This window comes from Homo sapiens, chromosome 2 (genome assembly GCF_000001405.40).
Source record: "Homo sapiens chromosome 2, GRCh38.p14 Primary Assembly".
NCBI classification, from domain to species: Eukaryota; Metazoa; Chordata; class Mammalia; order Primates; family Hominidae; genus Homo; species Homo sapiens.
Genome location: NC_000002.12, coordinates 122505111 through 122521369, shown reverse-complemented (window position 1 = coordinate 122521369; position 16259 = coordinate 122505111). Strand labels below are relative to the sequence as shown.

General features: G+C 38.0%; 2 annotated features.

Moving 5' to 3' along the window:
- Positions 1086–1586: an enhancer, noted in NCBI's record as "H3K27ac hESC enhancer chr2:123277360-123277860 (GRCh37/hg19 assembly coordinates)". NCBI's record gives its function as "activates a minimal SCP1, AML or CMV promoter by ChIP-STARR-seq in primed H9 embryonic stem cells {active_cell/tissue: H9 hESC(primed)}" and the evidence as "EXISTENCE:reporter gene assay evidence [ECO:0000049][PMID:30033119]".
- Positions 3995–4921: an enhancer, noted in NCBI's record as "OCT4-NANOG-H3K27ac hESC enhancer chr2:123274025-123274951 (GRCh37/hg19 assembly coordinates)". NCBI's record gives its function as "activates a minimal SCP1, AML or CMV promoter by ChIP-STARR-seq in naive H9 embryonic stem cells {active_cell/tissue: H9 hESC(naive)}" and the evidence as "EXISTENCE:reporter gene assay evidence [ECO:0000049][PMID:30033119]".

The following is a 16259-nucleotide window of genomic DNA, read 5'->3' as shown; positions in this document are numbered from 1 at the left end:
ATGTGGAAGTGACTGTCACTTGTTGACAAAATAAATAGTTGTTAGACTCAGCTGCCTGGGCTGACCACTGACCCATTTTCCAGACGACAGCCTGCCCCTGCTGACTTTCTTCATACTGCCAAGGTGTACTGCATGGAGACACAAGGAATAGAGAGACCACACTCACCTCCTGCAGATACAACTCCAAAGTGCTAAGACTCTAATATCTTTAATAATGTTCTCTCTTTATTTCAGGTTTTGGACTTGGAGCCTTTAAAAGACCTAAACATTTTTCACTGTAATATAATGCCCTGTGTTTCTAACAAACCTAAAAACAAAACCGAAGCCACTGATGGCACATAGAGTGACTTATAAGCTAACCAAAAGATAAATAAAAGTAAAAGTGAAAGGCTTACAAGAGATAATATAGTTGCAGATTTTTGCCAATTGCCTCAAATTCAAGGCATATATATGAAGGAAGAAATAAATTAAAAGGATACATTTAATTGTTGTGGGTTCAATTTAATAAGCTTTTGTTTTACAGTTATTCACTTAGTTTTCTTGAAAACGTTGTATTAGTTTAAGCATGGAACAGATTTTTATCTCCGGCCTGTAGTCAGAGAAGGACAAAGTAGACTCTCTCCTGTACATGGTTGACAATCCTATGTTTTAATTTTTAATTGATATATAATAATTGTACATATTTATGGAGCACATGTGATATTTAGATATATGTATATGCTGTGTAATGATTAAATCAGGGTAATTGGGATATCCATCTCCTGAAACATTTATCATTTCTTTGTGTTAGGACATTAAAAATCCTCTCCTCTAGCTATTTTGAAATATATAATACATTATTGTTAACAATGGTCGTCCTATTGTGCTATAGAAGGAACCTATTCCTCCTATCTAACTGTAATTTTATACACATTAACCAACCCCTCCCTATTGTTACAGTCTCGCCAATGCTCCACAATGTAGCAGTCTCTCATTGCCTGAGTTAGACCCAGAGTTCTTTGTCTCATGACCAAGAAAGTTAAGGAGCACAAACACCAAGGGCGAGGTTGGAGTAAAAGTTTAACAAGGAAAAAAAGAAAGTTTTCTGCTGTTAAGAGGGGACCCAGAAGAGGGTTACCATTTTTACTGTTCAATGCAAAGGCTTTTATAAGAAACTGATGAGGCCTGGACATCTCATTTGCATAAGATGTGAACTTCTGATAGCTCCACCCTGTCCTCTTAATACACATGGGGGCCATTAGCTTGAGTTACTGCATATTGCTTTATTCCTTATACTCTTATACTGCATATGTGTCAGGGGATGGAATTTTCCATTGCGGGCATGTCTGGGCAAGCCACCTGTGTAACCTCTCTTATCTGTGCAACTGTGGCCATGTCTTAGGCAAGACCCCCTCTGCAAGCTCCCTTATCTGTGCCTGCAGGCTTTTCTTTTGTTTGAAAGAATTCAACCAAGGACCCACCTTACCTGCCTGCCTGACCTGTTTCTTCCTTTCTCCTCTCTCATATTCACCCCTCCTCACTATCTTTTCCAGCCTCTGGTTACCACTATTCTACTCTCTACTTCTATGGGAAAAGTTGATCATTTTAGCTCTGATTCTAAGACAAAGTTACAGAATAGACCTGGCTTCAACTCTGAAGTATTCCTTGGAGAGGGCCCATGGAATATTGCACTTAACATTAAGAGTCAAATATGCTTCAGTCAAATGGGGAGTTATGATTCCTACCTTTGAGATTCGTTATGGATTTATAGGTAATGTACGTGGCGTAGTACCTACCTACTGCAGTTGCATGTATTTGGTAGTTACTACTAGTTGACCTGCAGGGGGAGTGCACTCGAAGGTTGTACCAATCCCTTGCTCCTTTGTCTTCCAAATAAAATGAGCATGATCAACCTGGTCATTCTCATGCACAGGCAGATAAAGAAGAAAAAACTTCACATGCTGTAGAAATGTATGCCACATGCTACATGCAGGAATACCCTCTTCTGTCCAAAATTTATCCTCCTGATTAGTGAAGTCTCAGTTAAAGAAAAGACTAAGACTTTCATTTTATAGAGACAAGGCTTAGAATATGCCCTCCCTAAGAAAACAATAAGTCAAAGGAGAGTTTGAAATTGGGAGATAGAAGAAAAAAATGGTTATTAGGCAGAGAAAGCCTCAAGCCACCAGTTTACTGACCTTGATAGTTAGTAGGTCATGTGGAGATCATGTAAAATGCTTCTGCAATGAGCAATCAATAGAAAGGGAAACTGATTTTTTAAAGACCATTAAAGCTCTCCTAAAATGTTGTTTATTCTAAGCCAGAAATTTGAAAAAACTAGAATTTTTAAACAAATTAGAGTAAAATAGATTCAAAGTTATTAGATTTCAGTGCCTAGAATATATTTTATGTGGGTCTATATATATAAATACAAATCCATATATATGTGTGTATACATATATGTATACACACACAATCGCACACATCCCCACACAAACACACGCACACAAACATATAGCTGTATCATGATCTAAAGGGCTTATCTTAACCAAGAGGAGAAGTTTTGGAATAATTCGAAATTAGTTTTGGTTGCTGTTGTTTGTTTTGCTTTAAAATACATGAAACTTCAGGAACTGGAGCTACTTTGAAATATGATCTTAAAATGCTGTATACGTTTGTAAAGAGATGATTAACTCTTTCAAAAAAGTTTAAATCCCTCTATTGAGAACATTGGTCCCTTCTGCAAGAACTACTGGCTCCTTCTGAAGGCAGGTACCTTCTTTCCACATCGCCAATGACATGCAGCTAAGTTCACCCATAAGAAAGCGGCATTGATTGGCTGTGGAGTAACTGACTGCTTGACCGAAACCACACAGATGCATCAACCTGCAGCTGCAATGATTTACGTGAAGGAACCCTGGGCTACAGGAAATACACTTGGAAATACTTTTATCTTCTTTCTTAACATTTCTTCAGAGGTGGATTTTTCATGCGGTTAATCAGCTTAATCTTCATTGCACCTCACTTGATGAGCTCTTCTCAAGGCTTTGAATTTAATGTTGAGTTTATCATTTTGGTATTATTTTTGTTAAAAGGAGCTCCCAAATTTGAACAAGTTTCAGATCTCACAAAAACTGGGTCTACCCCTTCATTAATCATAGACTAATCAGTATTTAGTTTAATAGTTCCAAGTATTAAATTTAAAAGACCTTCTCTTACACTTATTTGAAAGTCCATCTATTTACAGTACTCAGCGTTATATGAGTGTACACAGAGGATGAGAGTTTTGGAAATAGATCACATTTGTTGATCTTGAGCAAGTCATTGATTTCTCTGAAAATCTGTCTTCTCAACAGCAAAACTGAAATATCATGGGATAATTTTGAGGATTAAATGTAACTTCCCACAAAGATGAAAGTGATTAATGTTAAAAATTTCCACCCAACTTCCAGTTGAAAATAAGTTCATTGTAGAACTGGATTGACTTACTCCTTCTCAACCTGCTTCTGGTGAAGTTCCCAAGAGAAAACTGAGGGGCAGCAGTGGGGGAGGGGTGCAGAAAAACATGAGAGCAAAAGAATATAAATCACACTAACCGCCACCCCCTCACTTCCAGGTCATGAGGTTCCTAATCCAGCGTTCTATTTCTCTGTTAATATGAAGGCATCAGTAAATTTTGATAACTCTGATTCACAGGTATGTAGGGCACTATTGTGCTTAAAATTAAAAATATATTCCACTGGCTTTGTCCACTCCACCAACACATCTGACATTTCAATCAGTCCAGAAGACAAAGCAGATGACGTACCATGCCATTATACAAAATGAATCCTTGGACCATAAGGCTCAAACCACCGGAGTGACTGAAGTTAACTCTTGTCACATGTTTGTTTTGCCATCAGGCTGATAATAACCTTAAAAGCCATCTTTATATTACCAAAATTAAAAAAGGTGTCTTCAGAAGCATTGGAGTATCTCTTCATGCAAAGTTGGATTCAGAATGCTAAGATAATGGAAAATGAAAAGAAAATGATTATTGTGGTAGATTCTGTGAGTCAGTCTTTGTTCTCTCCCGTAACTCCAAACTCATTTCAAAAAGCATGAAATGCTATCAGTTAATGGAGGCAAGTTAAAGATGGCCATATTATAACTGAAGAAGGGCTGCTAAATGTTTAGATAATAGTCATCAATTTGCCATCATTGGCAGACATCTCCCCTGAGAGTCCTTTCATAAATTCTCCAGCTCAATGCACCCAGAAGAAATCTACTCCTAGGCAGCATTACAGATTGCCAGCTGTGAAGAGCCTGCCCCACCCCTTGTCACAGCTCAGAGAGTTTGCATGACAAAAGAATAATTGAATTGGTAATGCAACAGTACATGACATAGATCACCATTTTGCAACAGGAATGTTCAAGTCATGAATAATGAAGTGATTTCCTCCAGAGTAATTTATGGAACAGGTACATTAGCAAAGCAAGCTCCTGTAGGTGTGAAAATGCACCCACCTCTGACCCAGGGGAGCTCAGTGAGGTCTCTCAGCTCATTTAAATCCCTTTCATTGTGACTTCCGCTTAGAGCAGGTAGCAGGGCAGCAGGTATGACGAAGGGGGGATATTTTTGTTTCATTATATTTTATTTTTTTTAATGCCTTGTGGTATCTTGCCACAAGAGTAAGAGAGAGGTTTTCTAAAGCAGTTTAATATTGAACATCAAGCAGTTGCCAAGGAATCATAACCTCTGATCATTTCTGGCCTCTATTGAGTTTGAGTCGTTACTTCTGGTCACATTACTGAATGCAAACCACTCAACAGTTAGTGCTTCCAACAGGTTAGCTGTCGGGAAACTGATATGTGGGAAAATAAGACTCCATGTTTAGACACTGAAAAAATTATCTTTTCTCATTTACAAAACTCTAAATTATTTATAACAAAGATTTGATTTGAAGAATAAAAGAGTTTGTACTTCTTAAGAAAAAGGTCCTGAGGAATTGCTATTTACTCTTACATCAATAGAGAAACCATCTTAGCAGAGCATTACAACACTGCAAGAAAAGGGGAGAGAATGAGGGAAATGGCATTGTTTTAGGAAGATTTGATTCAACTATTGGAATCAGCGGAGAAGGATACTTCAAAATATGGAAATTTGGCATGATAAGCACTTTAAATTAAAAGAAATTGGGAGGCCTTAGAAGCTGCCTCAGAACCAAAAATTTTCTAACCTTCTCTTGTTTCTCACCCACCGCCCAACCCCCAAGCACACGGAGGGACTGTCTCTGGAATTCCCTAATCTGATAAAGGAAAATTTGTCCCCAAAGAAATGCAATTGCCTTTGCCCCACTGCCTAGGAATCTCATCAAATAACAAGGGAAGATTTATCACCAGAGAAGAGAAGAGGCTAAAAATCATCACCATACCCAGACAGATTTTTTGTCTGTTTTTCTGAGGGCAGCTCTGAGAGATTACCTGAAAGACTTCATTTGCATAATAAGACAAGCTTTGTTCACAGTGAAGTTCTTACCTTCCACGAGATCCCCCAGAGCTCAGAGAAACTTTGTTCCAAGCCATCGTTCTTTGAGCTCAATCATTTGCCCCCCATATTATTTAAACCCCTCTAAATATGGCCTACAGACCTCACATTTAAGCCTCAACCATCTAGCCCCTCTTTGAGTCTCCTTTCTGTGGGACTCCCAAGTGTATATGCACATTAATAAATTTGTTGTGACGTTTTCCCCTATTAATCTGTCTATTGTTAGTCATTTTAGTGAAACTTCAATGGGCAGAGAGGAAGCATTCCCTCTACACTTACATAAGCAAGAAGGTCTAAGAGAAAGCCCACTGGATTCTCTTGCCAACTAGACTGTATTGTTAGCAATAATTAGAGAAAACAAAAGTGGATTAAATACAAGAATCATGATCATTACCACAATAATAGTAACAATAGCCACTATTTATTCAGTTTTTACTGTTTATCAGATACTGTGCCAAGCATTTTCCATACGTTTTCTTATTTCATTTTACCAGTACCTCCATAGCATTGGTAATATGTGTGTTCTCATTTTGTAGATAAGAAACCAGAATATCAGAAATTTTAAGTAACTTGATGAAAATCAACAAATGACTGAACTAGAAAGCAAGCCTAGCTTTATTTTTTCCCAAAGGATCAAATTATTGTTTTTACCCAGCCACATGAAAATCAAATCAAACAAACCAAGGAGAACATAAATTATTCTTACAAAAAGCCTGAATTCAGCCCTTTTTTGCACCAAGCACCATGTGAGGCACTAGCAATACAAAAATGAAGAAAAAGTCTCTGCCTTCAGGTTGCCCACAGTCTAGTAGGGAAGTAAAGTCATAAACAAATATTCCTATGTGTTTTAATTTTGGTACATAATGGATAGTATCTCAATCTAGGTGCTTTACGTACAAGGCAAATAAATGAACTCTGGGCAACTAAAGCAGGAAATGATCTGTACAGAAAAATAGAGAATAGTTGTATAAGGACAACACACTTAAGTAACAGTGGATGAACTCAGCAGAGGCTTGATTATTGTTGATGTGGTAATCTGAAACAGTGGGGTATCTGCCAAACAGTGACCCAGGGAGTGAGGCTGCTTCCACGTTGCAGTTCTGCCTCCAAGTGGTTTTGAAGGAAGAGAATGATCGAGGAGGCACATTGGTTTTTATCTCCTTGGGTCCAGAAGCTAACATGTCATACATTCTCACAGTCTATTGGCCAGAACCAGTCACATGCCCCAAATTAACTTCAGAGAAGGATGAGATGACTGGTGGGCAGGAGCACTCTGGTTTACAGAACTAACAGTAAGATGACAGCGGTGGATATGAGGCGAGAATGCAACCAGGACACCCTAGGGAACTTGGCCATCTCATCAGGACCCCTCCTGCTGGAGTGAACGAACACCATTTTTCTTTCTTTACGTCTCTTCACTTGAGAGATGTCACATGTTGCCCAGATGAAGACAGAAGCATCTTGATTTATAGCCCACCAATACCACATGCAAAGAGAAAGAGAAGCTAATCCCCAAAAGGGAAATAAGGAGAAATAGGCATTAAAAGGTGAATGAGAATTTTTAGGTAAAAAGAGGGAGGGGGAAAAACATTAAGGAAAACCCACAGAAAACAAAAATGGCATGCCGACCCAGGAAGCTTCTTGCTGTTTTTGATGACTGGTACTGAGTCCATGAGACAAAAGAGATGACACTGGAGATGCTGAGCAGTGGCCATCATACAGAGTGTTGTTTGATCATTTAATTCTTTTTTTTTAAATTTATTATTATACTTTAAGTTTTAGGGTACATGTACACAATGTGCAGCTTAGTTACATATGTATACATATGCCATGCTGGTGCGCTGCACCCACTAACTCGTCATCTAGCATTAGGTATATCTCCCAATGCTATCCTTCCCCCCGCTACCCCACAACAGTCCCCAGATTGTGATGTTCCCCTTCCTGTGTCCATGTGTTCTCATTGTTCAGTTCCCACCTATGAGTGAGAATATGTGGTGTTTGGTTTTTTGTTCTTGTGATAGTTTACTGAGAATGATGATTTCCAATTTCATCCATGTCCCTACAAAGGACATGAACTCATCATTTTTTATGGCTGCATAGTATTCCATGGTGTATATGTGCCACATTTTCTTAATCTAGTCTATCATTGTTAGACATTTGGGTTGGTTCCAAGTCTTCGCTATTGTGAATAGTGCCGCAATAAACATACGTGTGCATGTGTCATTTAATTCTATCAGCTGTAAGCAAATGGTGCAAACTGGGGTGCAACCCACCCCAGGTCAGTGGACTGCCCTCTGCACCCTGAAAGTCATTCTGTTGTTCCCAAAATCTGAACATTGAGAAGAAATCACAAGTAAAGTAACACCTCTGCTTCTTCTTCGCAAACAGACTTGCCCACACATTCACATACATGTGCCCCCACATACACACATACATGTGTCTATACACGTATGCACACGTATAAACTCACATATGCCTACACACATCCACATACACACTCATGTGTCCCCACATACAAAAAGGCTTTCATGGAAAGGTGAAAGCAAAAGAGACACAAAAATCTCCAAGCTATCCCTAGTTTCAAAATTTGACATTGTCAATTGTGGAGAGTCCTTGCAAAGATTTAAATGGAGATGCACATGATCAAGTAAACTCAAAATAAAATTACTCTGGATTTAATGACACACTAGAGATGAAGGAAAGTCCTAGACTAGAAACTACATTGGTTCTTCTATCACTGCCTAGTGATGTGACCTCTGATGACTTGCTGGAATTTACCTAGACTCAGTTTTTTCATTATTATCACTATGGGACAATATTGTTTTCTTACTGGGGGTTCCAAATAAGAGCACGTGAAAGTGATTTAAAATTAATATGCATTCTATAGAAGTTCACTTTTCAAGTGGAAGCCCTCATCCATTTGTTCTGAAACCTAAAATACTTTTGGGCATAGACTCTAATAGACATAGTTCTGAAAGACAAGACATGGGAGGGAAGGGAGAATCCAGGGTTTGAGAAGACATAAAGTTCTTGCCTCTCCTTCAGGCTGCTCTGGGTTACTACCTAACACTGCTGATCACATAAGGTGCCAGTAATTGGCATTATGTACTCAGACTGATCAGTAATAATCCACTGAAACTAGAGAAAATCCATTTGTAAGCATTTAATTTTTGAAATGAAATTTCAAAGTGCAATTTTGGTCCTCACTAATGGCAAAGGCATAGTTAATTCAAGCTAGTTTCAACCAGATATAGAGAAATATAAAAATAGATCAGTCTGTTTAGTCCAAGAAAAATAATACAAAGTGTCAGTTAAATAATTATCACTAGGTAAAAGACCTATCTCTGTTCTGAGGAAAGAACAAAAATAAATAAAAACAGAGATTTGCTTTACCTACAAAAAATTCAAGTTATACATAAGGAGGAAGCTTAAACAATAGCTAATCCAGACAAATCATTAAGCAGAAAGAAGGCATAAAGTGAAAAATACTGTGAACTAGGAGAAAGAAAGTTATATTCTTGTCTCACTGGTAAAAAATGTGCCTTGGGACGTCACTTAATTATTTTGGTCTCAAAGCCCTAAGTAATAAAGCATAAGTAATATACAAAAAAATGCCTCTCTTCTCAAAAACTATCCTTCATCCAGCACCTCTAGTTTTTATTAGTTGCACATTATCCTCCTGGTCAGCCAGAATCAGACTCCAGAGCTATCCTTAATTCCTATCTCCTCACTCTGGCCACCTATGGATGATCTATCTCTTGATTATTCTACATTCCTGATTCTCACCTCCACTCGAAGTCCTTACAACTCCTTGCCTGGGTTGTAGTCAAGGTCCTAGGTGGTCTCTCAGCCTTGTGTGGCTCCACAGTCCAGGCCACTGGCTCACTGCTAGCTGGCAGGTTAATCTTGTACTGAGCTGTGGCTGTGTTCGCTGACTTGAGAGAAGCTTTCCCTGACTCCATTAAGTGAAATGCTGTTGTTTTTTATGATAACTTTAGGGCTATTTGAAAGTTTGCTCCAAAATATCTTTCTGAAAGTATACCTCAATTCAACTTTTTTTCTTGAAATTCCCTATGATCCAACCAAATTCTCTGTAGATTTATTCTAAATACTCCTTTTAGATGTGCACTTCTAGAAAGATGGAGCAACAGGGATTAGAGTCACTCTCCTGCCAGAACAACTAAGACACTGGATGCAATGGTTTTAGAGGCAATGGACAGTAGGCAACAAAAAGCCGTCATGTCTGAAAAACAAATAAGGTAGGACAGCACATGTACCAATTTTCCCCTTGCAGACAATTTCTAGATCACAAAAACAGGACAGGGAACCCAGGTGACGCTTGGAAGTGTCCCTGAACTGAAGAGATGGAACTGGGAGGCTACAGAGGACCAGGCAGCTAGAATTTACAAGGCCAAATTCCAGAAAGGAGAGAGCTGTCCCCAGAGAGTGTTCCAGAAGTATGCAAATGGTCTCACTCAAATCTTGAGCTGTCTGCTAATCAGGACATGTGAGTAGAGAAACTACTGAGGCCAAGGAAATAGCCATGCCCCCCAAATTAGAAGAAATGATACCTGGAACTCACACAGGCATAGAAATAATTCCCCTTCTCACCACCCAGAGTAGAAAGCCTTATAACTAACTCAAAGAGCAGCGGGTAAAGTACTCAGAAACATTCTGCTTCATTCGTTGGTAAAACTCGTGCTAAACTAAACATTGTTCTGATTTTGCCCAATAAAACGTACAAGAAAAATGAGAAAGGGTAAAACTGTTTCCAAGTAACATAACTGCATGCCAGAACAGAACTGAAGAATGCTGTATTTATAGATACACAAAACATGCAGCACCAAACAAAGTAAATTTTACAGTGACAAGCATTCAATTAAAAAATCATGGCTGGGTGCCGTGGCTCATGCTTGTAATACCAGCACTTTGGGAGGTCGAAGCAGGCAGGTCATGAGGTTAAGAGATCGAGACCATCCTGGCCAATATGGTGAAACCCCATCTCAACTAAAAATGCAAAAATTAGCTGGGCATGGTGGCGCGCACCTGTAGTCCCAGCTACTCGGGATGCTGAGGCAGGAGAATCACTTGAACCCGGGATGCAGAGGTTGCAGTGAGCCAAGATCGTGCCCCTGCATTCCAGCTTGGGTGACAGAGTGAGACTCTGTCTCAAAAAAAAAAAAAAAAAAAAATTCACTAGGCATGCACAGAATCAGGAACCACTCAATGATGCAAAATTGTGAGAAAAATAAATCAATCCAAACTAATCTAGAAACGACATAGATGACAGGCTTAATAGACAAAGACAATAAAAATCATTATAACTATACTGCATATAATCAAGAAGCTAGAGAAAAGCTTAAATATGTTAAGAAAACACAGAAAGATTAAAAAGTAGATGAAAGTTTAACTTCTAGAGGTGCAAACTACAACATCTGTGGTTAAAAACACACTTAATAAGATCACCAGCAGATTAGACCTTGCAAAAGGAAAGATTAGTAAACTTGAAGACATGGCAATAGAAACTGTCCAAAATGAAACAGAAAGAAAAAAAGAGCAGGAGAACAAAACGGGATAGAGCATCAATGAACTGTGGGGTAATTTCAAGCAGCCCAATATAATTGGAGCACTCAGAAGAGAAGAGAGGGAAAGGGCAGAAAACAGTATTTGGAGAAACAATGACTGAAACGTCTCCAAATTTAATGAAAAATTTAAGTTCATAGATCTTAGACTCTCAGTGAATTCTAAGCAAAAATCAAACAAAACTACACTAAGGTATGTTAGAAGCAATTTGCTGAAAACTGATAGTAGAGGGAAAAATCTTAAAAGCAGCCAGAAAAAGTTATACATTATATATAAAGAACAAATATAAGAATGATTCTAAATGGCCCTTTCCTATTCCCCTTCAGACCCTAAAAGATGAAGAATAGAAACTACCATCTCTTTATGGAGTCTGAATAAAGTCCAGACTGCTTTTCAAATCGAGGTTCGTGACTAAAGGGATACAACTGATTCCAAGAATGGGATCTTACTTTGTAATGTCCTTCCTGCCAATCTGGGCATTTCTTTTTACTAGTGGTCTGTTTCTCATGGTGACATTTGAATCAATAGATGTTTTATGAGTGCCTGCTCTGTGCAAAAGATTCACTTATCTAGAGCCTATTGCAATTTGCAGCTTAACCTGAAGCAAAATCAAGACAAGAGCACAACAGCCTGGGTGCTAAGTCTCAGCTTGACACTTAGTTCTGCCAGTCACTTAGAACACACTTTCTGCCTACATGGTCAATGAGAAAAGTGGAGCTGGGTGGTATTTAAGGTGCCCCTGGCTATTATATAAATATTTTAAACATACTGACACTCCTAGTTGCTTTCCTGTTTGCTTTCCATGTATCAGAAGTTTATGAGTATAAGCTCAGTGTACATAAAAGAACAGTGGCAATAACTTTAAAACTTTGACCAAAAATTACTGAGCACTACATATATCAAATAGGATTCTGAACACTGGAATTAGGTCTTTCTCCTTAAGGAGCTCAGAGTTTGGAGAAAGTGATTTGTCAATGTAAAGAAAGAAAGAAAGAAAGCTGCTAGAACTTTGGGGAAATTTGGAAAGACTGAAATGGAAGGTAATTTTGGATTTAATCAAAAGAGACATGCTCATATTTGCAAACAAATAGGTTTACACTTAAATAGCATATCTTTGCACAGTGACCCTGAAGCAAAATAAAAGATTATCCAAACATGAGCCCCTGACTTAAAGTAGCGAATTTAAGAGACAGTAAAAGCAAAAGTTCAAAATACGATGTTTGTCAATCCAGATGATGTGATCATCTAGAAATACAGTAAATTACATAAGTCTATGAGAATTTTACATCCTTCAACACTGCTGCTAAGTAACATTACAAATCTCAAATTTGGCTGGAGTTTAACCTTCAAAGAAAAAAAAAAACATGTCCAAGCTAGTGATGAGCATGCCCTGAAATGTTACCACAGGAGGATCTCTGGGGATCCACAGGCTAAGAAATGGGGTCCCATGATTCATCTGCTTGTACCTGCTATTGACATTCCAGTGCCTAATTCTTCTGTCAGGTACAGCAGGCCACAGCAATCATTAATTGAACATCTGTTATGCACAAGGTACTGGGGAGACAAAGGTGTCTCCTTTCAAAAAGCTAAGAGTCTAGCAAAGGTGGCATACAAGCATTGCAATGTTCTTTGCCTAAGACAGCACTCAATAAGCAAATACATTAATATTTCTTCAGGGAGTTGATTAATAACCTCACATCTGTTCAGATCATATTTGCTCCCAAATGAGTTCAGGTTAGCTCTGGTCTCACCATCAAATCAGTTAGAAAATTCTGGAAATTTTAGAATACAGGATAAAATATGTAGACCTGAATAAGAAAGTAGAGTAGAAGGAACTGATTAACTTCACTTAGGAATATTAAAGATTTTGCCTTCTGGAAACTTCTCTTTCATTTGTACCTTTATCTGTTCATTTGCTTTGCAAATTCAGGACTCCATAGTTCTTGACTTCTGTTCTTCTTGTACCTTTCTCAGAATATAGATTGGTTTGGAATACACTGGACGCTTAATACTCTCTTTTTTGAGACAAGGTTTCACTCTCTTTGCCCAGGCTGGAGTGTAGTGGTGCGATCTCGGTTCACTGCAACCTCCACCTCCGAGGCTCAAGCAATCCCCCTGTCTCAGCCCCTCAAGTAGCTAGTACTACAGGCATGTGCCACCACGCCGGGCTAACTTTTCAATTCCTTCTTGGTAGAGATGGGGTTTCACCATGTTGCCCAGTCTGGTCTCAAACTCCTGAGCTCAAGCAATCCACATGCCTAAGCCCCCCACAGTGCTGGGATTATAGGCATGAACCCCCGTGCCCAGCCTTAATATCCTTTTAATTAAAACAAACTAACCGTATATATATATGTATAACAGCTCACAGTTCCATGAATAAATGCTTGTAACAAATGCTTATTATATTAAGTAAAAAAAGCTGGAAACAATTACATATTTTACGGTACATTTACTACAACTTAAAAGTGCATTAAAATATTCTGGAAAGAAGTACCCAAAAATGCAACTGTGATTGCATTTGAATGATGGAACTATAACAGTTTTTTCCAATTTCTACACTTTTGTAGCTTTCCTTCCAATTTCTTTAACAAACATACATTTAAAAATAAACCTGAAAAAATTCTGGAATCCTGAACTGAACTTTGAAAAGACTTTACTTTTGTATATTTCCACCATGATTTTCTTAAGACTTACTTGGTACTAGGAGTTTGTTTTCAAGCCTTTCATATTTTTAATAAAATGATTCACAGTTTCTAAATTCCCATGCAAAATTCCTAGCTTCATCATTAACTAGGTTTCTCATGTGGTATTTTTGGCAATGGGAAGCATGTTTCCCACGTATTATATGGGAGAATAACTCATGCTGCTTCTGATAAGGCTGAAATGTGTGTCAACATCCAAATTTCCTCATCCTATGTATTTCTTTAAGTGAAAGAGATAAAGGAATACCTGTTGATTGCTTATTATGCTTGCTACTCTAGCCTTCAATTTGGTACAAAATAAATGTACATCTTAACATGGTCAAAGGATTTAGTTCAGCCACCTGTTTTAAAATCTTCTGTTATCACCTAAAGGTTTTCTGTGATTATTTTTTGTATTACTTTTTATTGTGGTAAAAGACACATAATATAAAACCTACCATCCTAACCATGCTTAAGTGCACAGTTCAGTGGTATTAAGCCTATTCACATTGTTGTACAACGATCACTATCATTCATCTCCAGAGCAGTTTTCATATTGCAAAACTGAGATGCTGTACTCATTAAATAATAACTTCCAATATTTGTATTCTTTATTATGGCAAAATACACACGACATAAAATTTATCATCTTAACCATTTTTAAGCATAGAGCTTAGTGGCATTATGTACATTCATGTTGCTGTGCAGCCATGAAAACCACCCATCTCCGGAACTCTTCATCTTATAAAACTGAAACTCTGTACCCATTAACACGAACTCCCCATTCCTCCCTGTCTTCAGTCCATGGCAACCACCACTATACTTTCATTCTTTCTGAATTTGAATTTGACTACTCTAGCTGTCTCATATAAGTGCAATCATGCATCATCTGTCTTTATTATAATTGGCTTATTTCATTTTGCATAATGTTCTCAAGGTTCATTCAGGTTATAGCATGAATCAGAATATACTTACTTTAAAAGGCTAAATAGTATTTCATTGTATGTATATACTACATTTTCTTCTTTTTAACTTTTATTTTAGGTGCAGGTATACATGTGCAGGTTTGCTATATAGGCAAACTCATGTCACTGGGTTTTGTACAGATTATTTAATCACCCAGGTACTAAGCCTAGTACCCAATAGTTATTTTTTCTGCTCCTCCCCCTCCTCCCACCCTCCACCCTCAAGTAGGCCCCAGTGTCAGTTGTTCCCTTCTTTGTGTCCATAAGTTCTCATCATTAAGCTCCCACTTATAAGTGAGAACATGTCATGTTTGGTTTCCTGTTCCTGCATTAGTTTGCTAAGGATAATTTTCCCCAGCTCCATCCATGTTTCTCCAAAGGACATGTCTCAGCATACCAGTCATCAAAAACAGCGAGAAGCTCAGCATCTCCAGTGTCATCTCTTTTGTCTCAGCATACCAGTATGACATGATCTCATTTTTTTGTATGGCTGCATAGTATTCCATGTATATATGATGGTAAGTTTTTATATCTTGTCACAATCTTAAAGTTTTTTGAAAATTGAAATAAAATTGAAAATAAAGTTTTTTGAAATTAAAACAAGCAGGAAATGTAAACACATAAAGGCACTGTAGGCATAAATGGGATCGCGTTTATACAAACAAACAGATTTGTGTTGGCAACACAAATTAGAGGGCATTTAGTCCGTGGATGTGCTGATTCCTATTTACTAAGTGGCTTTGGATTTAGTCTGAAGTTGGTTTTTCCATGTGGTTTCGATGCATAAGGCAATCATTTGACCTCTATGATGAGCTGAATTCCTCCTCATCACAGTGAAGCAATGTTTATTAAGCACCCATCAAGTGAGGTACTAGGTATACTAGTTTCTTCTCACAATAAGGTCATAATATTTGAAGTAAGATAGTTTCGTTTTGCTTTTAACTAAACACGATTTTTCTGGTTCTGTTGCTTTTTTAATGGGTGCAGCCCCACACAGGCACTGTTCTAGGCACTGAATCACAGTCCTGAATCAACAGACATTATCTCTACCCTCATGATGTTTATAGTCTCCGAGAAAGCAACCTCTGAACATACAATTCCATGTGTAAGTAACAAATGTTATATAATAAAATGTATGTGATGTTAGATCACAATTTCTAAATTAATCTGAGTTACCCTATCTTTCCCTACTCACACCACTATTCTATCTTTTCTACTTTATTTTTGTCATCTGCGATTTTGTCTCAATATCTTATGCCTCAGTCTTCTCCAATTGATTGACTACTGATTTGACTTTGCATTTTTTAATCAAAGGGTACTCCTTCAAGCTTTTCTTGTCTATCTGCCTCTTACCACAACACTTGCCCCCCCAGCATAATCACTCAGACCACAGGCTCCCCACCATAAGGTATGAGAGCATGTTATGCATGTTATGCCAGTGATGAGCTTTAGAATGGCCATAAGAAATTTTGGGAACTGAAATAAGAATGATGTCACAATGAGTTAGAGTTAGAATGCTGTGGA